This window comes from Homo sapiens, chromosome 5 (genome assembly GCF_000001405.40).
Source record: "Homo sapiens chromosome 5, GRCh38.p14 Primary Assembly".
NCBI classification, from domain to species: domain Eukaryota; kingdom Metazoa; phylum Chordata; class Mammalia; order Primates; family Hominidae; genus Homo; species Homo sapiens.
In genome coordinates, this window is record NC_000005.10 from 66,503,206 (window position 1) to 66,529,014 (window position 25,809).

General features: G+C 39.1%; 2 long non-coding RNA genes across 5 annotated transcripts, besides 2 other annotated features; one reads left to right on the top strand and one right to left on the bottom strand.

Moving 5' to 3' along the window:
* Window positions 1-912: 912 nt before the first annotated feature.
* Window positions 913-8,705, top strand: LOC105379002 (uncharacterized). 4 transcript variants are annotated; one of them, XR_948378.4, is made up of 3 exons: window positions 913-1,652; window positions 7,395-7,807; window positions 8,554-8,705. It is a non-coding gene; the product is annotated as an uncharacterized LOC105379002 (long non-coding RNA). The 4 variants fall into 4 exon arrangements; XR_007058795.1 differs by having other exon boundaries at window positions 7,395-8,705; XR_007058796.1 differs by having other exon boundaries at window positions 913-1,311; window positions 7,395-8,705.
* Window positions 4,339-8,399, bottom strand: LINC02229 (long intergenic non-protein coding RNA 2229). Its single transcript, NR_105001.1, has 3 exons — window positions 8,352-8,399; window positions 5,571-5,742; window positions 4,339-4,779 (listed from the first exon to the last, which is right to left on the bottom strand). It is a non-coding gene; the product is annotated as a long intergenic non-protein coding RNA 2229 (long non-coding RNA).
* Window positions 7,554-8,753: an enhancer, noted in NCBI's record as "CDK7 strongly-dependent group 2 enhancer chr5:65806587-65807786 (GRCh37/hg19 assembly coordinates)". NCBI's record gives its function as "activates an origin of replication core promoter dependent on BRD2, BRD4, P300/CBP, MED14 and CDK7 cofactors, with strong dependence on CDK7, by STARR-seq in HCT116 cells {active_cell/tissue: HCT116}" and the evidence as "EXISTENCE:reporter gene assay evidence [ECO:0000049][PMID:35650434]".
* Window positions 14,902-16,101: an enhancer, noted in NCBI's record as "BRD4-independent group 4 enhancer chr5:65813935-65815134 (GRCh37/hg19 assembly coordinates)". NCBI's record gives its function as "activates an origin of replication core promoter dependent on BRD2, P300/CBP, MED14 and CDK7 cofactors, and independent of BRD4, by STARR-seq in HCT116 cells {active_cell/tissue: HCT116}" and the evidence as "EXISTENCE:reporter gene assay evidence [ECO:0000049][PMID:35650434]".

The window sequence follows — 25,809 nt, forward strand, 5'->3', positions numbered from 1 at the left end:
TCAGCCCACCGCTGCACTGTGGGAGCCCCTTTCTGGGCCGGCCAAGGCTGGAGCCGGCTCCCTCAGCTTGCAGGGAGGTGTGGAGGGAGAGGCGTGGACGGGAACCGGGGCTGTGCTCAGCGCTTGCGGGACAGCGCGAGTTCCGGGTGGGTGTGGGCTCAGTGGCCCTGCACTTGGAGCGGCCAGCCGCCCCAGACAGTGAGGGGGTTAGCACCTGGGCCAGCAGCTGCTGTGCTCGACTTCTCGCCGGACCTTAGCTGCCTCCCTGCGGGGCAGGGCTCCAGACCTGCAGCCTGCCATGCCTGAGCCTCCCCCTGGCTGTGGGCTCCTGCACTGCCCGAGCCTCCCCGACGAGCGCCACCCCCTGCTCCACTGCGCCCAGTCCCATCGACCACCCAAGGAAGGGCTGAGGAGTGTGGGCGCACGGCGGCGCGGGACTGGCAGGTAGCTCCACCTGCGAGGCCCTGGTGCAGGATCCACCGCATGAAGCCAGCTAGGCTTCTGAGTCTGGTGGGGACTTGGAGAACCTTTACCTCTAGCTAAGGAATTGTAAATACACCAATCCACACTCTGTATCTAGCTACTCTGGTGGGGACTTGGAGAACCTTTATGTCTAGCTAAGGGATTTTAAATACACCAATCGGCACTCTGTATCTAGCTTAAGGTTTGTAAACACACCAATCAGCACCCTGTGTCTGGCTCGGGGTTTATGAACGCACCAATGGGCACTCTGTATCCAGCTAATCTAGTGGGGAGGTGGAGAACTTTTGTGTCTAGCTCAGGGATTGTAAACGCACCAATCAGCACCCTGTCAAAACGGACCAATCAGTTCTCTGTAAAATGGACCAATCGGCTCTCCGTAAAATGGACCAATCAGCAGGATGTGGGTGGGGCCAGATAAGAATAAAAGCAGGCTGCCCTCGGTAGCAGTAGCAACCGACTGCGGTCCCCTTTCACGTTGTGGGGCCAGTGTTCTTTTGCTATTTGCAGTAAACCTTGCCGCTGGTCACTTTGGGTCCACACTGCGTTTATGAGGTGTAACACTCACTGTGAAGGTCTGCAGCTTCACTCCTGAAGCCAGGGAGAGCACGAACCCACCATGGGGGAACAAACAACTCCAGACGTGCTGCCTTAAGAGCTGTAACACTCGCCGTAAAGGTTTGCAGGTTCACTCCTGAGCCAGCGAGACCATGAACCCCCCAGAAGGAAGAAACTCGGAGCACATCCGAACATCAGAAGGAGCAAACGCCAGACACGCTGCGTTTAAGAACAGCAACACTCACCACGAGAGTCTGCGGCTTCATTCTTGAAGTCAGTGAGACCAAGAACCCACCAATTCCAGACACAATATCTTACTAGAGAAGTTTTAATTTTGCTTTTTTTCAGATATCTCAGGGATTCACTGCTCTGGAATCAATGTTTACATTAATTTTTTGGCTTAATAACTCCTGCACCTGTGAGCAATGAAAATTTGCACTGCCTGTTGGTACATGGTTTATAGGCTTGGGATTTGGATTTTTTTTTTAACTGTAGACTTTTATCTTTCTATTCAGACCCCATAATAGAGATAAACGTTCTGTGCCTTACCATTTACTTTTCTCAGCCTGTGGCAAGAAGTTTGAAGTTTGTTGGGACACCTTTTCATCAAGGAGGTAACTTTTCCAGGGTTCCAATTTTGGCTGGAATTTTGTTTTCGTGATTTTACCTTGAGAAGCACAAGGACACATTTCCTGTTCTGTATTCTGACCCCTAGCTTGGGATAGTGCCCTATCCAGGTTTGATTCCTGGATTCTATCTTCTACCATGTCCACTCACAAGCATAGCACTCTGGCTTCTGTTCCTCATCATTTCCTTAAAAAAAACAAACCCCTAACATATAGTAAAGTTGGCATTTTTGAAGTTAGAGTTTATGAATTTTAATACATATAAATTTGTGTAATTAGGATACAGAGCATTTCCATCATGGCAAATTTTCTCATTTCTTGCAGCTAGAGATTTAAGTTCAGCATTATATTCATTTTTATGTGTCATTTGTGTATTATTTTTATGTATGTGTTTTAGGAATGGGAGCCGGTTAACTCAGTTTGCCATGTTTTCAGGACCACAAGCTGGCCCGTGCCCATTCTAACCGAAAAGCTCCTAATAATCCAATAGTCAGGGTTCTCCAGAGAAACAGGCCTATAGGATGTGCAAATGAATGTATACAAAGAGGTTTTATTTAAGAAATCGGCTCATACAATTACAGAGGCTGGTTAAGTCCAAAATCTGTAAAGTAGGCTGTCAGGTTGGAGACCCAGGAAAGAGCTGATGTTGCAGTTCAAGTTTGAAGGCCATCTGTTTCAGAAGTCTCTTTCCTCAGGGAGGTCGGGCTTTTGTTCTATTCAGGTCTAGAACTGACGGGATGAGGCCCATCCACATAAGGCAGGGCAATCTGCTTTACTCAAAGTTATCAAATTAAATGTTAATCTCACCCCAAAACGCTCTTGCCCAAACATCCAGAATAATGTTTGATCACATATCTAGACACCAAGGCACAGTCAAGTTGACACATTAAAATTAAGCATCAGAAGTCTGTCCCTTGTCAACTTGGCACCCGTATGCATCTTCTTAAACCATACTTAATCATAAAAATAAAGATAATAGCAGGGTCACATTTCCACCCAACATGATACAACTATCTCTTTTTTTGTTTGTTTTTTGAGATGGAGTCTCATTCTGTTGCCCAGGCTGGAGTGCACTGGCGTGATCTTAGCTCACTGCAACCTCCACCACCCGGTTGAAGTGCTTCTCCTGCCTCAGCCTCCCAAGTAGCTGGGATTACAGGCACCCACCACCATGCCTGGCTAATTTTTTTGGTATTTTTAGTAGAGGTGGAGTTTCACCATGTTGGCCAGGCTGGTCTTGAACTCCTGACCTCAGGTAATCCTCCTGCCTCGGCCTCCCAAAGTGCTGGGATTACAGGCGTGAAATACAACTATCTTACATATAAGTGAAAATGTACAATTACTTTCTCCAGAAGAGGATTCAAAGTCCCTGGGTGTTGCCTACTCTTCTCCTTGATATCTCAGAACTTAAATACTTTGATAAAGACAAGCTAAATACTATGACATATATCGTATGTTAGGTGATAAAGGGATAAGAGTAGGAAGAAAACAAAGATGTTTGATACACACATACACATATAACAAAATAAGGAGGAAATGCTCATGTGAATGACAGTCCTTATTTCTGTAACGGGTCATGTGGCTGTAGCTGGTATTTATAACTGCCTTCTTCCACTACCTATTCCATGTTCCCTTTGTTCTCATCAAGCACCTTAGCTTGTTATAGTTATTTATAGTTCTTTACCTGAAAACGGGGGTGAGGATGACATGCAAATCTATCATTCCTGAAGAGTCTGGGCCAATCGTAGCCCAGCCCAGATTGGATTATTGTAGTTTTCCATTGACTTTAATCACAGGACACTGTAATAACAAGAGATGCCTTAAGGGAACTCCTGTATTCCCGATGTAGTCTTCATTACCTTCATTGTGGGATAGCAGTCTTATTTCTCCCTGGTAGTCAGAGTCAACCACCCTAGCTGGTATAGCAACACCCTTCATTGTCTGTTGATTTAGAGGCATAAGGATCCCAAAATGGCTGCATGTCAGAATCATTACTGTGATCCTGGTTGAACTAAAACCTCGTAGCTAGCAGAGCATAAGGTCACAGGGACAGAAAACATTTTGCTAGTGAGTCAGTAGGAGTAATAATTATGCCACTCCATTACCATCCCTTGATTCCTGGACCCACGAATCTTGGCTGTGGGTACTATACATCCAGTAGTACTATATATTTGATACTGATTTAAAGTGTATACAGCCTTACAGAGAACCTTGCCCCAGCCCTGCAAGATATTGCCACCTAGATGGCACGAAACTATAAGGCCTACCTGTAACAGAGTCTTCAAAAGGCCATACCAGTGTTCCATCAAGCCAGCTTCTTAAGAATGTTGGGGGACATGGTAAGACCAGTGAATTCCCTGAGCATGGGCCCATTGCCACACTTGATTTGCTGTGAAGTAATTTCCTGGATCAGAAGCAATGCTGTGTGGAATACCATCATGGTGGATAAGGCATTCTGTAAGTTCACAGATGGTAGTTTTGGCAGAAGCATTACGTACAGGGAAAGCAAATCTGTATCCATAGCAGAGTCTTTTTATTTCTCCTAGCACATAATGTTCTGGGTCAATCCTCCTTTCTAAAACAGTATACAAACATAAACACAGCTTATTGACTTGTTGCAGATACCATAAAAAAAAACTGGCAATATAGAAAGCCCATGAAAGAATTAACAGTATTTAAAAACTAGAACAAATTTAATAACGCTTTATATAAATTTGCTGCATCCACGGAAGTATGGAAACACTCACATTCCAGATATCAACCTGAGTTACAGAAGTTAAAACCTCTCCAAATACATCACCAATTTTCCCTGGTACTAAACACAGTCATCTTCTAGAAAGAAACACCAGTGACCCATATTTTAAACTAAAGCACACACTGCTTTTTGTAAAAAAGCAAAGTCATTTAAAGCAGCTAATTAAAATACCATTTAAGCAATTGCAATGGGTAACAGGATCATAAAATCATTAGTAAAGTAGAAGTTTGTCACTGAAGCTTCCACATGATCTTATAGACTAGAAGTAGACTGGTCAGGCTTCATAGACATCAGCTAACTGAAGGCACCAAACTCCATTAAGTCCTCAAATTTCAGTGTCTTATTTTTTTCTGAGCACCACTAGAACAAGAAAGAAAAAGCAATGGTAAGAGAAATATACCATGACCTATGATAGGGATTAGTTTTAAATTTTAGCCATAAAAGCTTAGTGTTGGTTTTTTTTATATATAAGCCATCTAGGTCAAATACTTACTGAATACTTATATATGCTTGTGCTTTGCTGGCCAATTTGGGGAAGGATAAAAGAGGTATTCAATGCTATGAGATGCTTCAGCCTAATTGAAAAGACTTGGACAATTAAAGCTCAGGGCAGTGAGTATGACAGAGTACCAATTAGATGTGAGAGGTAGTGCCTGCAGCAGGTCTCAGGGAACTATGAGATGCTGACCAATAGCACCCTACCTGTAGCAGCTATTCACAGCAAGGATGAATTCACAACCATAAATAAATTATGTATTGTTTGGTTCTAATTTGGATAAAATATTTTTATAACTTAAACTACCCAGTCATCTGTGTTGCCTGGAACAAGAACTTCCTAGGAGACCTAGGGAGTCTGCCCTGCTTCAATTGGAGGCCTAACGATTCTGCCCTGCTTCAATTATAAATTCCATGCCCCATGGAGTTCTTATTCTTAAACCTGTAAGTCCTGGCCTAGACACTCCCAGGCAGGTGGTGAACAGTGTGAAAGGACAGGCTAGTAAAGAGCCTCTGCCCTGGGAGCAGCACATATCTTGGTGCAGCCTTCTTGCCAGTGCTATTCTCCCTAACTTTGAACTTCCGAAGTCCCTCTGCCTAGGTGTTCCAGCTATACCTGATCCTTTTACATTTCCTGTTCTCTGGATGGTACTTGCCTGACTGCTGGGGTTGGCCTCCTGTTTCCAGTTCCATCTACTTCCTTCCATGTCCTTCACGGCTTCTCTGACCTGTCATGCCAACAGATTGCTCATGTTGGTAGAGCTCTGAATCCTAAACAGCCGCTCTGAAGCCCGAATTCACTCTATTCTGGATGATTTCACTCTTGATCTGGAAAAGGAAGAAAAGCCTTTAAGTGATTTTCCTCAGAGGTACTGTGTTGGTGTTCTGCTCTGCTTATGCTTTCACTGTGGCTGTGCCTCAGGCTCCTGGCTGCAGCCCATTTCTTTTCTGACCTCCACTCTCTCTCCCTGGACAATCTCATTCCCCTATGCCTGTAAGCTTCATCTTTCCTCTGATGAATCCCCAGTCCCTCCTCCAGGTTTTAGAGTATCTGAGCTGGCCAGGGACCTAAGCTACAAGACACAGAGGCTAACTGAAGCACTAAAGTAAATTATCAAAGAGATACTGTGTAGCTCCCAGAGTTGTTCGAAAAACTGGAGAACAAGACATAGAAAATAGGCTGGAAGAAAGGGAGGCAGAGCTAAGCCACAGCATTTGTCCAAGGAGGTCCCTACTGCCCCAAACACTGGACACTGCAGTTTGTTCTGCCAGTGTTACTCCTTGGGAAATGGGTGTTGTTGCCACCTCCAGAATGAATTCTCCACTGACCTTGCTTCTTTGAGCAACTTGCTCCTAATTCAGACTCTCAGATGGGTGCATCTGATTGGCCAAACCTAGATCATGTGTACATATCCTAGCTGCAAGGGGGCCAGGAAAACAAAAATCTGGCCTTTTAAGATTTTATGTTGGGATATGGGCTGTCCCTCATCAGGATGCATTCAGTGGGGAATTTTCCATCTATCCAAAGCAGATGACATTGGACAATAGAAATAAGTGAGAGAGAAAGGGAAAGCAAAGAATGGAAAGGAAAGGAAAAAAGCAAACGTACACCACAGAGACATGTTTTCAATTGCCCACTGTACAGCTTTACTAGATCTCCTACAAATACCTCAAACTGTGTGTCCAAAAGTGAACCCTCCATCATTTATCCCCAATGTATTCCTCCTCCTCCCTTTTCTTTCTTGGTATCTGATTGTTTCCTCATTCATCCAGTCACTCAAGCCCCTAAACTCAGTTATTCTCCCTCCCTTCTAATGACTCTGGTCATCAAATGCTTTGGATTACATATACTTTATGTTTCTAAAATACATCTCTTTTTCTGAAAGGTCACTGCCATTCCTTCAGGGCCAACACTCATCAGCTTTTGTCCAGATGAGCACAGGAGCTCCCTACTATTCTCCCAGCCTCTAACATTTCTCCATGGCACTTGTCACAGTTGCAATTGCATTTGTTATGGGATTATTTGATTGTCTGCTCCCCATCATCCTCTTGTTCTACTTGATTCTGCCCTCTTAATGCCAACTGTTCGGTTATCTAACAGTAGAACAGTGAGAGAACCATCTCTAAATAAATAGAATTAGGCTTTTTTATTAGAATCTCAGATGACTACCTTCTGCCTTTTCTCACCCTGAGAATTGTGACTATGGAGTCACAATGTTCCCCTGTAAACCTGACTCCTAGAAAAAAAGTAAACTGAAAGGAAACAAATGAGAGGATAAATACATCAAATTTCTTCTCAGGTCATCCTGAGTTCACTAGACCTGGAATGGAGCATGGTGCTTATTCTCACTGTTGAGTTAGAAGTGTAATAACTAGTCTGTTAGATGGTGCCCAGTGGGCCACATGTCTTAGTATGTATCCTTTTCTCTTCTCTCCCGCATTGAACCTGGACTGGACCTGTGACTCTCTTTAACCAACAGAACTTGGCAGAATCTAGTGCTGGTCCTGGAGCTAAGTCTTGAGAAGACCTGGAGGCTTCCACTTCTGCGCTTTTGGAAATTCTGAGCTTCCGTGTTAGAAGAGTTGCTACCCTTCTGGAGATACTACATGGAAAGACCTCATGAAGAGGCCATATGGAAAGGGAGAAGCCTTGTCCAACCATCTCCACCAAGGTCCCAGGCATATGAGAGAGCCAACTTGGACAGTCTGGTCCTGTTGAGCCCCCAGATGCCCACAGTCTCAGTTGACAACATGTGGAGCAGAAGAACTGCCCAGATGAGCCCAGCCAACCCAGTGAATCATGAGAATAAGGAAATGGTTTTTGCTTAAAGCTTTTGCTTTGAAGTGGTTCCTTATGCAGCAGTAGATATCTGAAACAGGGGGCATTGATTAGGTATGTGGTCTTCTTTAATTATTCATTTCACTGAACTCCACTTCCAGGCATTTAGTATATTCTTCTGTGGGTTGATATTAGCTATTGAATGCAAAACCCCTCTAGTTCACAATCAGCACAAGTCTTTGATTTTTTTTTTTGAAAGGTGAACTCATTTGACGGCCCTTATCAATATTTGAAGCCCAGAAAAGCACATACATAACAAAACCAGAGCTTCAGGCTATAAATGGAATTGGCTCGATTCTTCTTGCTCTTTTCTGCATCTTGCTCTTTTCTGCATCAGCCTTAGCATGGCACCATTAGTGATCCATGAGATAGCTGTTTAGGGCCCTGAAATAGATTGATCTGAAGTTCCCTTGGCAAGGAATAAAGACAATAATAGGTAGAAGGTTGAAGAAGTTTTAATTTAGAGAAATTTTACGAAGTAAGAAGGAAAATAAAAGAAAGCCACCAAATTGAATAATTTCCATCGTGTTTAAAGATGCTAATTCAACCCACTGGCACCAGGGAATGAATCTTATCTTGTGTTGACATTCCTCCTTACATAAAGTAGATTTGTCACTGGGAAGCAGCTGTCTGGCCAGGAACTGTGTCTCCCAGCACCCTCTGCATCTAGGTGTGGACATATGACTAGTACTTACCAATGGAATGTCAGCGGAAGTGACGTGTCACAATGAGCCATGGCTTTTAAGAAGTCATTATTTCTTTTCCATGTTCCCTTTCCCATTACGCTGGCTGGATATAAGTGACATCAAGGCCCTAGGGGATGGCAGAACTCCCAGATGGAAGAAAGCTGGATGTCTGAGTCATGGCAAGGAGAGCCATTCACCAACTAGGAAACCACGTAGAAATATTCCACAGGAGAAATAAACTTTTGTTGTATTTGAGCATTTCAAAACTTGAGGTTTATTTGTTGTAGCAGCTAGCATTTCCCTAATGAATATAGTTGTTCACTTATTTGAAAATTCACATAGATTTTTCATAGAGGAGATCATTACTAGTTCTCAAATTATGGGGGAAGTTCATTCATTTTCCTTCACCTCTGTTCTTACATCTATAAAATAGGGCTAATGCTCTGTATCTCCAAGGATTGTTCTCATACCAAATGAGATACTATTGTATTCACAATAAATGAGATACTATAGCATCTCATTTATTGAACATTACCATAAACCAGGCCCTATACAAAGCACTTTACTTACCTTATCTCATTGAATCATCCCAATAACCCTATGAAGTAATTTCAATTAGCCTCCATATTTCACACATGAGAAAACAGAAGCTTAGAGAAGTTAAGTACTTGTCCCATGTTACACAGCTAGTCATGGCAAAGCTAGTAATTGAACACAGGCAGCCTGACTTCAGAGGCCACATGCCCAGCACCAGTCCTCTCTGACTAGGACAATATAGAGCACCCAGCATGGAGCCTGATACATAATAAATGAACAATAAACACAAATTTTATTTTCCCTCCACTTTAAAGAAAGAGACAATACGAAACCTAAGTGTAAACATACACATTTTTGGTTAAGTGCACAAAATACACACATACACAAATTTACACAACCTTCACTTTATTCACAGATATTCAGCTAGTATGTTTAAACTAGAAGTAAAACTAGAATTTCCTGGAGTTCATGGACAGCACTGCTGTACAACATACATATGTCATCTCAACCAACAAGGTTATTTTGTGCTCATAGCCCAGCTGCAGCTGCATGCTTCAAAGAAGCAGCAAGAACACTGAAGAAATGAATCCCAACATGACTAATGCATTTTAAAGTTGCTTGTGAAACATTCATGTTATTGATCTGCTGCAGGAAAACTGACAGAAAATCTAGCTCAGGGATGGACATTACTGCAGGAAGTGCAGGAACGCTGGGTCCCTAAAGTCTTTCTCATTTCATTTAATATACCACATATTTCTTGAAGCAAACTAGTTTAAACACCTAGTCTGAAGTATATCTTAGAAATAGACTGAAATTGATAGTTTTGGTCATGCAGCACTTTGTATACCTGAAGTACATTTTAAAAAATTACAAAACCATAATGGGAATGCTAGTGCTTTCTCTAAAGTCCTATCAACTATTATTAGATTGTCTATAGAACCCAAGCTCAGAGTGCTTTTTCAAAGAAGGTGCAGCAATTCTCCCCATTCTAATTGCCATACCAAGAGTAATCTGTCTTCTGGGCTTTGGAGCTGCTGAACCACTTTATTCTTTTGCCTGAAGTTTCATCAAGGCAATATGCTTAATCGATGTTTGCTGATGTTTATGGTCTAATGCCTACTGACAGCAGGTGCAAAAAGAAAAAAAACGCAGTGAATCCCCATTTGCATAAAAACCTTCCTTAAATTCACCAGCATGCTGTTTTGCTGTAATTTAGTAGACAGGTGATTTTTCATGGCACCTTCATGAGTTGCTTTCTCCCCTGTCGCTGGCTCCATTTCTCTACCTGCTGTTCCCAGAAGCTGTGGTCTTATTTATGCCACATGTGGTAGCCCCTTTCAGACTGTCTACTCGGCTCGTTGATCAACTCTCCTTAGTGCTTGATTTTCATATTCTGGTCCAGGAAACAGAGTCTATCCCTGAGTAACTTAGAAGCTGTTGCTAACTTATGTGTTAAGCCATGCCAAAGGTGGGCTATGGGATTGTACAGGCATACCTCAGAGATAGGCGTGTTTGGTTCCAGACCACCACAATAAAGTGAGTCACCTGAATTTTTTTGTTTCCCAGCACATATAAAAATTATGTTTACATTATATTGTAGTTTATTAAGTGTACAATAGCATTATGTCCAAAAATATATATTTACACCTTAATTTAAAATACTTTACTGATTAAAAAATGCTAACAATCTGAGCCTTCAGTGAGTCATAATCTTTTTGCCAGTGAGGGGTCTTGTCTCCACATTGATGGCTGCTGACTGATCAGGGTGATGTTGCTGAAGATTGGTGTAGCTGTGCCGATTTCTTAAAATAAGAAAACAAGAAAGTTTGCCACACCAGTTGGCTCTTCTTTTCATGAAATATTTCTCTGTAGTATGTGATGCTGTTTGATAACATTTTACCCACAATAGAATTTTTTCAAAACTGGAGTCAATCTCTTCAAACGCTGCCACTGCTTTTTCAACTAAGTTTAGATAATATTCTGATTCCTTTGTTGTCATCTCAACAATGTGCACAGAATCTTCACCAGGAGTAGATTCCATCTCAAGACACCATTTTCTTTGCTCATCCATAAGAAGTAACTCCTCATCTATTGAAGTTTGGTCATGAGATTGCAGCAATTCAGTCACATCTTCAGGCTCCACTTCTCATTCTTGTTCTCTTGCTATTTCCACTGCATCTGCAGTTACTTCCTCTACTGGTCTTGGCTCCTCACAGTCATCCACAAGGACAGAAATCAACTTCTTCCAAGCTCCTGTTAGTGTTGATATTTTGACCTCCTCGCATGAATCATGCATGTTCTTAATGACATCTAGAATGGTGAATCCTTTCCAAAAGGTTTTCAATGTACTTTGCCAAGATTCATCAGTGGGATCACTACTTGTGGCAGCTATAACCTTACAAAATGTATTTCTTAAGTAATAAGACTTGAAAGTTGAAATTTCTCCTTTCAACTGGGCTACAGAACGGTTGCTGTGTTGGCAGTCTTCAAAAAAACATTAGTCGCTTTGTACATCTCTATCAGGGCTCTTGGGTGACCAGGTGCATTGTCAATGAGAAGTAATATTTTGAAAGAAATCTTTTTTTCTGAGCACTAGGCTCAACATGGACTTAAAATAGTCAGTAAACCATGCTGTAAACAGATGTGCTGTCATCCAGGCCCTGTTGTTCCATTTATAGGGCACAGGCAGAGTAGATTCAGCATAATTCTTAAGGGCCCTACGATTTTCAGAATGGATTTTCAGAATGGTAAATTGGCTTCAGCTTAATGTCACCAGCTGCATTACTCTCTTAACAGGAGAGTAAGCCTGTCTTTTGAAGCCAAGCATTTACTTCTCTCTAGCTATGAAAATTTTAGATGGCATCTTCTTCCATTAAAAGGTTATTTCATTTACACTGAAAATGTCTTTAGCGGTAGCCACCTTCATCAATGATCTCAGCTAGATCTTCTGGATAACTTGCTGCACCTTCTACATCAGCCCTTGTTGCTTTACCTTGCACTTTTATGTTGTGGCGACAGCTTCTTTCCTTAAACCTCATGAACCAAGCTCTGCTAGCTTCCAACTTTTCTTCTGCAGTTTCCTCACCTCTCTCAGCCTACATTGAACTGAAGAATGTTAGGGCCTTGCTTGGGTTAGGCTTTGGCTTAATGGAATATTGTGGCTGGTTTAATCAGGTTTCCGGAGTACTCAAACTTTCTCCATCTTAGCAATAAGCCAGTTTCACTTTCTTATATCGCATGTGTTCACTGGAGTGGCACTTTTAACTTCCTTCACGAACTTTTCCTTTGCATTCACAACTTGGCTAACTGGCACAGAGGCCTAGTTTTTGGCCTAGCCCAGCTTGCTACGTGCCTTCCTCATCAAGCTTCATTGTTTCTAGCTTTTGATTTAAAGTGACAGATATACGACTCTTCCTTTCACTTGAACACTTAGAGGACATTGTAGGGTTATCAACTGTCCTAATTTTAATATTGTATCTCAGGGAATAGGGAGGCCTGAAGAAAGGGGGAGAGATGGGGAAACAGGAGACAGACAGGGAAGCATACACAGCATTTATCAACTAAGTTAGTTCACTATCTTTGGCGCTTGGTTTAAGGCAGTCCAAAAATATTACAACAGTAAAATCAAAGGTCCCTGATCATAGATCACCATAACACATATAATAACAATGAAAAAATGTGAAATATGCCAAGAATTACCAAAATGTGACACAGACACGAAGTGAGCACATGCTGTTGGAAAAATGGTGCCAACAACTAGATGCAAGGTTGCCACAAACCTTCAATTTGTTAAAAAAAAAAAGTGATATCTGCAAAGCACAATAAAATAAAAATGAAGCACAATAAAGCAAGGTATGCCTGTATCTTTTCGGAGACCTCAGAATAGCTTCACTGACCCAAACAATCTATTTCCAATGGTATACGATGGAAGGGAACTTAACCTAGGGAAGTCCATTAACCTTAATGATAGTCACTTAGCTAATTACCCTTCAATGTGCATCTAACTATAGCCTTGTCCTCATTATTATTTATTTATTTATTTGCTGAAGCAAGGGAGATGAGTGGCTCACCTTTCTGCTCCCCATTAGGGAAGGGTAGCTGTTAAACTGAAGACAGTGTACAGTGCTTCAGGCAGGCATTTTTTCACTTTGGCTTCTTTATTTCAGTTGACCTTAGATTCTTTTAGGCTAAGGTGACTGTATTATCCATTTCTGTTAAAGGAGGAAAAAGGAGAAGAGCTTGGCCTCTTGGAAAAACTCTTATTGATTCTCTGGGTTATTAGTGTTTCCATGTCTACTCCTGTCCTGCCAATATGCAGGGTTGCATTGAAGATCATGCAAACTTGAACGTCGGTTTTAAACATTAAAGTAGTATTCAAAGTCAAGGCATTACTTGATCATGCAGAACTGTTAAAATTTTGGTAGCACCATGCATTGACAGCAGACTGCTTTCAATCTCAGGGAGCTACAATTAAGGCAGCAAAATAGAACCACAACATTAATGACTGTTTAGTTTGCTCTTTCTTGAGACGGGGAAAAACACACCAACTGCCTTAAACAGAAGCACTTCACAGACTCCCTGAGGACATGATACACATTTGAAAACAACTGAGCTGTGAATGCACCACTGCTTGTCCACTTGTGTGGCTTCTCCCTCTACCACACATTATTTCTAAAACACTATAGGAAGATCTTGCTAAATCAGCTTTAAAAAATAATTTGTAAAAAAGAAAAAGAGATGGGGGTGGAAACCAAGTCCTTCAGGGGGTTCAAAGGCTAGGCACAGAACGACAAGGAAAGAGGATTAAACAAAGTCATGCGAGAGAAATCTCAAAACAAGATGCTTCAGAACCAATAGAAATTCAAGATCAATTGTGTCAGCAGATCAAAGACAAAACCCAGCATAGTGAAGAGTATTAACTATCACCAGGGGAGACTCATCCTACTTACTAGAGTGAAACAGACACTTTGTTCCTTTAAGGTGATAAGACTGGCTTTTGAGTAAAGATCAACCAAACTGAGCAAAGCAGTTACATTTTCCCAGAAGACTGTGGTTAGGAACTGAAGAAAAGGTAAATTCGCTTTATAAAAAGCATTCTAGACAGCTTAGTTACCAGAAAATTTAGAGGCAACAGTTCGGCCTCCCTGTTAGAGGAGCTATTGTATCTAAACAGGGTCTGCATCCCCTTGGCAGGTATTTTGTAGGAAGATTTCCTCTGACTGTGCTTTAGTGAGTGACCCTTGCTGTTTATCTGGCAGGTACGCAAAAAACCTGTTCCTCAATTTTAATTTAGCAGACTTAAATAAATGTATTGTTGGCTAAGAATCAGGAGCATGGCGTGATGGTAACAGTCAAGGTAGAAAGACTTGGCAGGAACTACTGGACAGATTTGTCCAGACTCTATTTAGAGACCTGCAGGAGATGGAAAGTGATAGCCTGCCAGTGCTCTGTCTAGCTACCAGGAGTCTGTATTCATCCCAGTACTGGAATACTTAAAACAATGCTTGAAATGAACCATACTGTTCATGCAGTGCCAATGATGTGCATACCTAGAAAAAGAAAAAGGTAACCAAGTATAACTAAAACTGAAGTCTTCTGAATGTCTTTTTGGTTAAGATAAGAAAGAGTGCTCTCTTACCAAGATATGATAAGTACCCATATTCCTGATGGCCCATAGTCAATAGTAAAATAATTCTCAATTCTAAGGAGCAGATGGTGTAAACAGAGATAAAGTATCATGAATGGCAAGTGTGATTAAGCAAATGATTCAAAATGCAACGGAACTGTCATATAGTGGTTATCAATGTTGATATTCACTATATAGCAGTTCCATTGCATTTTCTAATAGATGAAGATAGAGAAATGGGACAATTTGGCTATTAATTGAATATTTGTGTGGGCTGGGAAATTATTGTTATTGTGAAGTAAACTATCATTGCCATGGGATACATGAGAAAATGGAACCACGGAGGAGTAAGTTCAGCCGATTTGTTCTAAGGAATGGGTAGGTGTGTCTGGAATGATAATCCAGTTTCGGATTTGTTGATTACCTCATTGTAACATAGTGCCTACCACTGCTAAGTCCATGTCAGGAATGTTTATCACAGACACAGTCTCATAAGTTCATAAATAGGTTGATTTGGAAAATTATCTCTGTGAGATTCCAGACAGATTGTCCTTCCTGGTCCCCTCCCCAGATCTCTCAGTTGATAGAGTTTAAGCAGAGGTTGGATGAAAAACCTTAAGATTTCTGATTAAACTTGGCATTCACGTTAATTTCTTTGGCTTGAATTATCACTTGGAACAATTTCTTTGATAGAGTTTGTATTCCACTCAGAGCAAAGCGTCTAACATACTTCTTACCTGTTGAATGAAGACGCCAAGAAGATTAAATGAACTGATAAGCTAATTTACTTACTCTCAAAGTATTTTTAAATCTCCCAGTTGGATTGTGGATGCATCCACTGCTTCTTGAAGTGCTTTACATTTTTGCTCTATATTCTAAGACTATATTATTACATGTGAACAAATTGAGTGAGCCTGCGCCTCCAGACTGTGAACTTCACAAGCGCTTCTCAGTGCCCGCTGTGGGACAGGACAGCTAAAGCAGGCTGGAGTTAGGCATTTCTCTTCCCCCAGGTTAACTTCTGATAAAACCCCAGCAGGTTAGAGTCTGGTTAGAGTTTCTCCTGAGAGCAGGCCTTGTTAAGAACAGAGTGCTTCTGGCATATTTCCAAAGCATTCCTTTTCTCCTCCCATTACCGGAAGCATGAGGGGGATTTTCCTTTGATACTTACTATGAGAACCTGATCAAGCCCCGGGAGATAAAACTCACAAAAGTATGAGAACTTCTCTATGACTGGGTTTCTCTGGAATTGTTTTTAACTCCCAGACTTGTCCACACATAGCCTGCAGCAATTTGACAATTACAGTTCAGGATTTCCTACCCAAGGACTGGTTTCCGAGGCAGTTGCCACCAAGTCTTTGGTAAGTCTTGAGTACGCACGCACATTTAAAATATTTTTTTCTTTCTGGTGAATGGAATATTTTATCTTTATAAAGTATCCCTCTTCATCTCTAATAATGCTTTTGCCTTAAATTTTACCTTTCTAATGTAGTCACAGTATTTTTATTTTGGTCAGTGTTTGGATTTTTTTTTCCATTGTTTTGCTTTCAATCTTTCTATATGCTGATTTTTTAATATTATCTCTTATAATCATATTTTTTTTTGTAAATTCTAGCTGCTGACCTTTGTCTTTTAATGGAAACATTCAGTTCATTGAATTGTTGCTGTCTTAGGAATTAAATCTACCATTTTATTATATTCTTGTTATTTCCATCTTTCTTGCCATCTTTTAGATTGATTAGAGTAGGTTTTATTATTCCATTTCTCACCCTGCCCCTGGCTTGGTGGCTGTTCTGATTATCTGTTGTTACATAACAAACCACCCCCAAACTTAATGACTTATAACAACCATTTTAGTTTGGTCATAATTTTGTAAGTAGGGAACTCAAGGAAGGATTTGGTTGGGCAGGTGATTTCTGACCCACATGGCATGGCTGTGGAATTAACTTCTAAGATGGCTTCTTTACTCATATATCCAGGCCATGGTGCTCTTTGGCCAGTCTCTCACTCCCTACCTTCCACTCACTCCACATTGTGACTCATCTTGTAGAGTCTCCCCACGTGGCTTGTTCTTCTCACTGCACAGCTATTTAAAATACAGTCATCCCTTGGTAGCTATTGGGGATTGTTTCTAGGACCCTCTGCATATAGCAAAATCCAAAGATACCTAAGTCCCTTTTATAAAATGACATAGTAGTATATGCATATATTAAGCACATCCTATCATACACTTTAAATCATCTCTAGATTATTTATAATACCTAATACAATGTAAATGCTGTGTAAATAGTTGTTATACTGTATTGGGAATAATGACCAAAAAAAGTTTTTACGTGTTCAGTACAGGAGCAACAATTTAGATTTTTTTCAAATATTTCTGATTTGCAGTTTGTTGAATCCATGGATGTGGAACCCACAGATACAGAGGGCTGACTGTAGTCACATTTACATGAAGGCTGGCTTCCATGAGGCAGAAGTAGAAGCTGTTAGACTAGTTTATGGATTTCTTGGAATTGACACAGCATCACTTTTGTCATACTCTTTGTCATATACTTTGTCACAAAGAAGTGACAGAGGCCACCCAAATTCAGGACAGTAGAGAAATAGTCCATCTCTTTTTAGGAGAGAGGCAATATCACATTGCCAAAAAACACGTGGGAAGATGGATATTGCTGTGGCCATACATCTGCCACTGATTATACATATACGAAATTATATATTTTTAAACTGTTTTTGTTTTGTTTTGCTGCTTGCCTAGGGGTGGAAACACACGTACTGACTTATTATGGTTTAGTATACATTAATACTTTTACGTCTTACTGGCCAATGAAAAGATCTTAGAACACTTTAAATCTCTCCATTCCCACATTTATGACATTGTTTTTATGTATTTTAATTCTGCATTTAATTAGAATCACACCAGAAATTATTACCACTGTTTTATGCATCAATATTCATTTAGATTTTTCCACATATTTGCCCTTTGATTGCTTTTCATTCTTTCCTATATCTTTGAGCTTCCAACTGGAATCATTTTCATTGTATGTCCTTTAGTGTTTCTTATAATGTGTGTCTCTCAGTCACAAATTAAGTTTGTATCTTTTTTGTATATTTCACTTTCATTTTTGAAATTCTTTTTACTGATTACAGATTTATATTTTGCAGGTATTTTGAGGATATCATTCTATCATTCTATTGTCTGTTGACTTTCATTGTCTCTGTAGAGAAGTGTGATGTAAATCTAATTGTTGCTTTGAAGCTCCTTTGGCTGCTTTTAAGATTTTTCTTCTTTCTTTCTCTTCCTTCCTTCCTTCCTCCCTGATTGTTTGTTTGCTTGCTTGCTTTTAGTAATTTTGTCATTATATGTCTTGTGATTTTATATTGAATTATTCTGCTTGACATTTTTGGAGTTTCTTGAAAAGGAGGCTTCATGATTTTCACTATTTTTTGGAAAATTATCAGCCATTGTCTCTTTAAATATGGTTTGTGTCCTTTTCCCTTTATCTTATTCTTCTGGTACTTCCAGTACATGTATTTTAGATCTTTTTCACTGAACTCCTGTCTCTTACACTCTTTCTTATATTTTCTATCCTTTTTTGTTTTTGTGTTTCATTCTGGATATCTTCTTCTTCCGGTTCATGAATTCCCTCTTCAACTCTATCTAGTGTAAAATTAAGCATGTAATGAGTTTTTAATTTTAATTATTGTATTTTCCAAGTTCTAGATTTTACATTTTATTCTTTTAAAATATAGTATCCAGATCCAACATGGGACTATTTATAATGTCTATTATTTCTCTTGGTTTTAAATTGCATGTTCTTGTTGGTTCACGTGCCTGATTATTTTTTGCCGTCTACTGGTGATTATATATTTTAAGATATAGAAATAACTTGGACCATAAGAGGATTTACCTTTATTCTTGGAAGGCAACAAGGGACATGGCTATTCCTTAATCTTAATATAGGGATCGATATTATTTAAAGCTAGTCTTTAGTCCCAGTGAGGGCCAGATTATTCTAGTTCACCTTTGTTTCTAAGTTAACAGCTTCTAGGGGTTCTAACAAAAATCATGAAAGTTTATTTGGGACCTTCCTCTTTCACGGTTCCTGGATTCCAATTTTTATTTACTTGATGAAGCTAACAAAAATCTCTGCTTGGCCGGGCATGGTGGCTCACACCTGTAATACCAGCACTTTGGGAGGCCGAGGCTGGTGGATCACCTGAGGTCAGGAGTTCAAGACCAGCCTGGCAAACATGGTGAAAACCCGTCTCTACTAAAAATACAAAAATTAGCCAGGCATGGTGGTACACGCCTGTAATCCCAGCTACTTGGGAGGCTGGGGCAGGAGAATCACTTGAACCTAGGAGGTAGAGGTTGTGGTGAGCCAAGATTGTGCCACTGTACTCCAGCCTGGGCAACAGAGTGAGACTCCATTAAAAAAAAATATATATATATATATTTTTAGTGTTTGTATATAAATATATATATATTTTTATATATTTATATATAAAATATATTAAATATAAATATATTTTTATATATTTATATATAAATATATTTTTATATATTTATATATAAATATATTTTTATATATTTATATATAAATATATTTTTATATATTTATATATAAATATATTTTTATATATTTATATATAAAGATATTTTTATATATTTATATATAAATATATTAAATATAAATATATTTTTATATATTTATATATAAATATATTAAATATAAATATATTTTTATATATTTATATATAAATATATTAAATATAAATATATTTTATATATTTATATATAAAATATATTAAATATAAATATATTTTTATATATTTATATATAAAATATATTAAATATAAATATATTTTTATATATTTTATATATATATAAGCTTCTCAGTTTCTCAGATGACTTATTAAATTGTCAGTGCTCCCAGGAGATAAGCAGATTTAAGTGCTGAGCTTACCTCTCTGGTCTTTCTTTCTTCTGTATCTTTACCTCATAATTTTTCATTGTTTTACTAGTTCCCTTGTGTTTTCAATTTTCCTCATTAGAGGGATGTTCCACATTACCGAGTCCAACATTGACAGAAACAGGAAGCCTAGTCTCAAATAATTTAATTATAAAACAAGTTTTGAATTTTACCTCGTCCTCATTAGAACTGGGATTGAGTCAGAAAATAATGCAAATATTGAAATATATGCTAGTTTCCAGTTATTTTTTAAACACAATAGAATGTGTGAGGCTTAACTTTTCACAAAAGTCAAAGCAATCATAAACTGTTAAATAACAGATTGCCGCATTTTAAGTTCTTATACCATTCTCACCCACCCATGTTAAACCTTCCAATTTACATGATAAAATCAGCCTCTATTTCAAAATGAACTTTTATGCTTGCAGAGAGAAGCAGAAAATCACTTTCACAATCCAGAAAAGGTCAATTCAGCACCACAAATGGAAAGGACAATAACTGATAACTGCTTATAATGCTCACACCTCAAGTGAAAAGCAATATCTAAAGAATACATTTTATGTAATTTTAAAACATCTATTGAGCAATTCCTGGCTATAAGACAGTATGCTAAGTTCTATAGTTGATTCACAAAGATGAATGAGTCATAGTCTTTCCTATAGACAATTAAACATTTTTCAGAAATTTATAATTATCTATTATTCAAAGCAGAGTCCTACCTGATATTAAGATATATATTATAAAGGGATAGTACAATACAAAAGTGTGTTGCTTGTCAGGAACAGGCAAATGACCCAATGAAACAAAAAAGAAAGCCCATTAAAAGACTCATAATTCCCCGAAAACTTGGTATATAATGAGGTGACATCCCAAATCAATCTAGAAAGAAGGGGTTAGTCCATAAATTATCCTGGGACAAATGGCTTTCCACCTGAAAAACTGAAATTGATCTTGCACATCGAGTAGAATATATAAACCAAATGTAAAAAGTAAAATCACAAAGTTAATGAAAAAAATGAGAGAGAATGCCTTTGTGACTTAAATTAAGAATCTCTTAAATGAGACTTAAGAAAGCATAAACCCCCCCAAAAATTAATGGGTTTGTATCAATATTAAAGATTTCTGAATAACAACAGGAACCATCAATAGAGTTAACAGATGAGTAACCTTCTTTTTTTTTTTTTTTGAGACAGAGTCTTGCTCCGTCGTCCAGGCTAGAGTGCAGTGGCATGATCTTGGCTCACTGCAACCTCCGCCTCCCGGGTTCAAGTCATTCTCCTGCCTCAGCCTCCTGAGTAGCTGGGACTACAGGCACGTGCCACCACACCCGGCTAATTTTTGTATTTTTAGTAGAGACGGGGTTTCACCATGTTGGCCAGGATGGTCTCGATCTCCTGACCTCGTGATCCGCCCGCCTCCACCTCCCAAAGTGCTGGGATTACAGGCGTGAGCCACTGCGCCCAGCCTACAGATGAGTAACCTTCTACGAAAAGATATTTATGGCATCTAAAATGGACAAATGGTTAATAAACAGCATATACGAGTAATCCCTTATTCAGGTCTCTACCCAAATATTACCGCCTCAGAGAAGACTTCCTTGAGTTTCTGAACACCGCTGCCTCCTTACTGTCTATTCCTTTAACTTACTTTATTTTTCTTCATAACACCTATCAAACCCCAACATCATATTATATGATTATTTGTTCATTGTTCTTTCCCTTCCCTAATAAATTCTAAGCTCTATGAGGTAAAGGGTTTTTATCTGTTTTGCTGAATTTATTGTCTTAGCACCTAGAACAATGCCTGACACACAGTACATGCTCAATAAAAATTTGTTAAAAGTGAGTGAACAAACTTCTGAAAATGGACAATCCCACAGAAAAGCATCAAAAGACAAGTATAGGCAATTCCAGGAGGGGGAAATCTAAATGGCAAATATATGAGGAGATGGTTAGTCTGACATCAAAAAATGTAAATGAAAAGAAGCTTGAGAAAGCATTCTATGTCCACCAGATGGGCAAAAATTCAAAAGTCAGAAAATAAAAAGGGAAGTGAGCAAGTGGAACCTCCTAAACACTGCTAGTGGGAATGTAAATTGGTACAGCCATTCTGGAAAGTCATCTGAAAGCATTCAATAAAACTGAGTGTGTACATATCCTACAACCCTAATTACCCCACTCCTGGATGTATAACCAGAATAACTCTCACACTGATCCAAGAGGGGTAATGTATGCAGATGTCTATGGAAGCATTGTTTGAGGTAGCAAAACACAGGAAACACTCTACATGTACTTTAGTAAAAGACTGAAACAATATAATATGGCAAGTGTATTCAATGGAATATTATGCATCAGTCAGATGTAACAAACTAAATTTACACATAACACCATGGAAAGAGATGATTTTCGTTCCTTTTTCCTAATTAAAATAAAGTAATAGAATATTTTAAATATAATGTATTATCTAAAGCCGGTAGACAAAATAAATGGCTCTCTGATGATTGCATAATTTTTCTGAGTCTGTGGCTCTTGGTAGGAAAAAGATTCCTTATTTCTCATAAATACTTTTTTTTTTTTTTTTTTTTTTTTTAGCAATTTTGGGAGCCTAACATCTACTCATCCTAATCAGTTTGTTTATATTCAGGAGACTTATTTTCATCTGCAAATTCTGGTCAGTTTTAGAATCTGTTTAATATCTACCTTGGGGAATGAAGGGCTATCCAGTGCTGTTTCTGGATCTTAATTCACATCGTAGCTTTGAAATTGACCAAAATTTACTACTTCAAGGTCTCTCCAACTGGGAATGTTGTTAAAATGCAAATTTGGATTCATTAGATCTGGAAGGACCTGAGATTCCACATTTCTGAAAAGCTCTAAAGTATGGCTAATGCCATGGATTCTCAGACCACACTTTATGGAAGGGGTTGTTCTTAGGGAAGCTGAGATCTCACCCAGGGTCCAGGACAATCCCTAGATTTATGTACATTTAGCAGAAGATTGCTGAAGGGGCATATGGGGAACTGTAATGTGTGGCTTGCTCCCCAGTGTCAGAGTGGGGAAAGATGAACATGTTACTCTAAAGAGCTCCTGTGTAGGAGGTACTGATGCTGGCTCACACCTGAGCCAACTGCATGCATCTCATCCCAACTCCATGTTTAGTGATATCCCACTGGTATTAATAGCTTGAATCAATATTATTAATATTAATATCTTGAAATCAGTCTTGGGGTCAGTATTTACACTATGAAAATTGGTGAATGCTACAATTTAGGGTTCTCTCCCCAACCCTGCAGAGAGCCAGTCTACCAGTATACCACTCTGACCAGTATTCAGTAGGAAGACCACTACAGATGACCTTGGTGTGGACCCTGAACAGCACAAGTGGGAACTATAATTTCCCACCATGGTTTCTGGCTGTGGTAAGAATCCAATTTTAGAAGAATCAAATAATAACCACCTCTGACAGAGAAACAGAGAGAGTTACATGGGAAAATAGAAAATAGGGCTTTAAAAAGAAAGTTCATTTCCCTACATCCATGTTCCTCACTCCAAGCATGTGTAGGCCAACAGTAAAGGAACATTACACTTGCAGCAAGGGGTCTGCAGCAGGAGCTGATGAACTTTTAAAAACAAATTTGTCATTTTAAGTATTCATATTAAAGTCAGGAAGGGAAAAATAGAGAAAATATATTATTTAGAACAGGAACACTTTCATTAAAGAATTAGTAAATCTTTAGTGTTAGCTAAGAGCACAGAGGAATCAGTGCAGTAACTGGGTAGTTGAGTTCCTATTAAGAAATTCCTACTAAGAAATCGCTTCAACTTATATTTAATGGGTTTAGACAAATTCTGTGCATTTTGGGGGGCCATATTTTCCTAGCTTGTAATGTAAGACTAAAAATAGCTTTCGCTCATCTCACCTCCTCACAAGTTCCATAGCATGTTGGGATAATAAATTAGGTTGAAATGAAAGTTAGGAAATATCTGAAAATGACTTTGATTTAGAAATAAATGCCTATGTACTAGTTATTATTACCTGCAGTCAGAGACTCATGTCTTCCTTGGGTAGATTCAGTCCTAATAAAGCCCAATTGGAAAGTATAGTAAGTATGTAAAAGAAGTAAAGGCTATGGAAATCTCAGTGAGCCACCGCAGGAATGAGAAAAGAGACTGACTAACATCCCTCATCCCAATGATGTGTTGTCATCATTGTTACACTCGTATATTACACAAAAAAGTCCTATATTATAGCCACTAGCTGTGTAATTAATGTCTGTTCAGTGGCCAGCTCAGGGCTTTCATTGCTTCTTCTAGGCATTTATTAAATTAATATTTGCAAACATTTTAGGAGGTTGAACTTTGAGATGCCTTTTCAAGGAACCAGTCTTGTCACATATAATTTATATTCAGATTCAAAATTATAGAAAAACAGCAGTTACAAGAGGCATAAAATATAATCTTAAGTTTGCTAAAAGTAAAAGTAAATGGTAATCATATGTGCCTTCAAAAATATGGGAGACTATTTAACAAATTATTTCTATGGCTCTCTCAGGATGCTGGGATTATGGATGATACTGATTTTCTTTTATATATTTTGCTTCTTTTTCTAAATTTTAAAAAATAAAGATTTATTATCAGAACAAAAACCCACACTCTTTTTTGGGGGGGGTCAGTTTTCCATGTTTAAATCTGACACTTTCAACAACATTTCATAAGACCTCAGATTTATAAGGCAACACCTTCAGAAAGAGTTAGGGCATGTAATTTGATTGTTCTTCCGTACTGCCAGAGAATTTTATATCTGGGATATATTTTGAAGCATCAACTAAAGCTTGTAGAGCCCCATAGCTCTACAAGAAGCTTTTGCTTAAATGATGAATTGACATTTTAGAATAAGCTGATTTGTCGAGTCACAGTTGAAAGTGAAGATTTTCTATCTTACTCTCCAGCACTTCGTCTTCTGGTTCATTCTGCTTCTTTCTGTTCCTAAAATCCTGTAACTTGCACAGGCATGGCTTGCCAGCTGGAACTAGAGTTATGGCAAACTAAGCATTGACATCATCTGGCCAAACACGGAGCCAAGGAAATGAACATGCCTAATATATGTGTATCCTGATTTACTTTGGAACACTATTCTATGGCTCAGAAAAAGTCAGTTGTACTTTTCCACATTACATCCCAAAACCCACATACCACTGGCCAAAGAAGAGAGTGTTACAAATGGTAAGGAAAGACAGGAAAATCCACCATATCATCTGTACTCTGAACTGTCTGATTAGGGAAAGATCATGTCTTTGGTATTATGTTTAGAATATTTTAATTGCAGAATTTCCATTCTAGACTATGTGAATTCACCTGCTTGTAATTTGCATTTTACAAAAAGAATCTGTAGCCCCTTAGGAGACATTACTTCCTTAATCCTCCCTATGGTCCTCTGGGAGAGATGGGGTCAGGCATGTTAGGGAAGAGAAAGCAGAAATTAGGCTTTCTCTTAGGAACTCTATTTAGAGGCTTGGACCCCAGTTCAGAAAGGAACATGAGCTCCTGAGTCCATTGCTGGGGTTCCTGCACCGGGGAACCCCTCAGGGAAGTAGCTCCTTTACTTCAGCACACCCCGTTTCTGATCCATACAGTGGATTTAAGGGATCTTCTGGTAGAAGCTCCACTGTTCATCAGTCTCTTTCCCCATAATTTCTTTAACTCCCCAGCATATTCTCAAATCCCTTTTGAATTTAGCTCAAACATATAAACTATTTTGTTTGGTCCCCTAGTGTTGACTTGTGATTTTCAGGCTCTTTATTCAAATTGAAAAAAAAAAATTATTTAACACAGGGATGGTATTTTATGATTTCTGCCACTATTCACAGCACCTGCCTAGCACAGCATAATGTACACCCTATCCTCCACCTATCTCATCCTCCACCTTCTCATACCTCCACCTGTCTCATCCTCTACCTTCTCATACCTCCACCTATCTAATCCTTCACCTTCTCATACCTCCACCTATCTCATCCTTCTCTTCTCCTTCACCCAGCATTATTTTCTGATTTGTACTTATTGCTTATTGTGTGTCTTCCCCCCACTAAAATGTAACTTCCTTGAGGCAGGGGCTTTCTCTCTTTGGTTCATTGCTGAATCCCCAATGCCTAGCCTAGAATAGGGCTTGGTACAGTGGAGGTCCTCAATAAATATTCACTGAAGGAAAGGACGAATGCTTAAAGGAGGTGTTCAG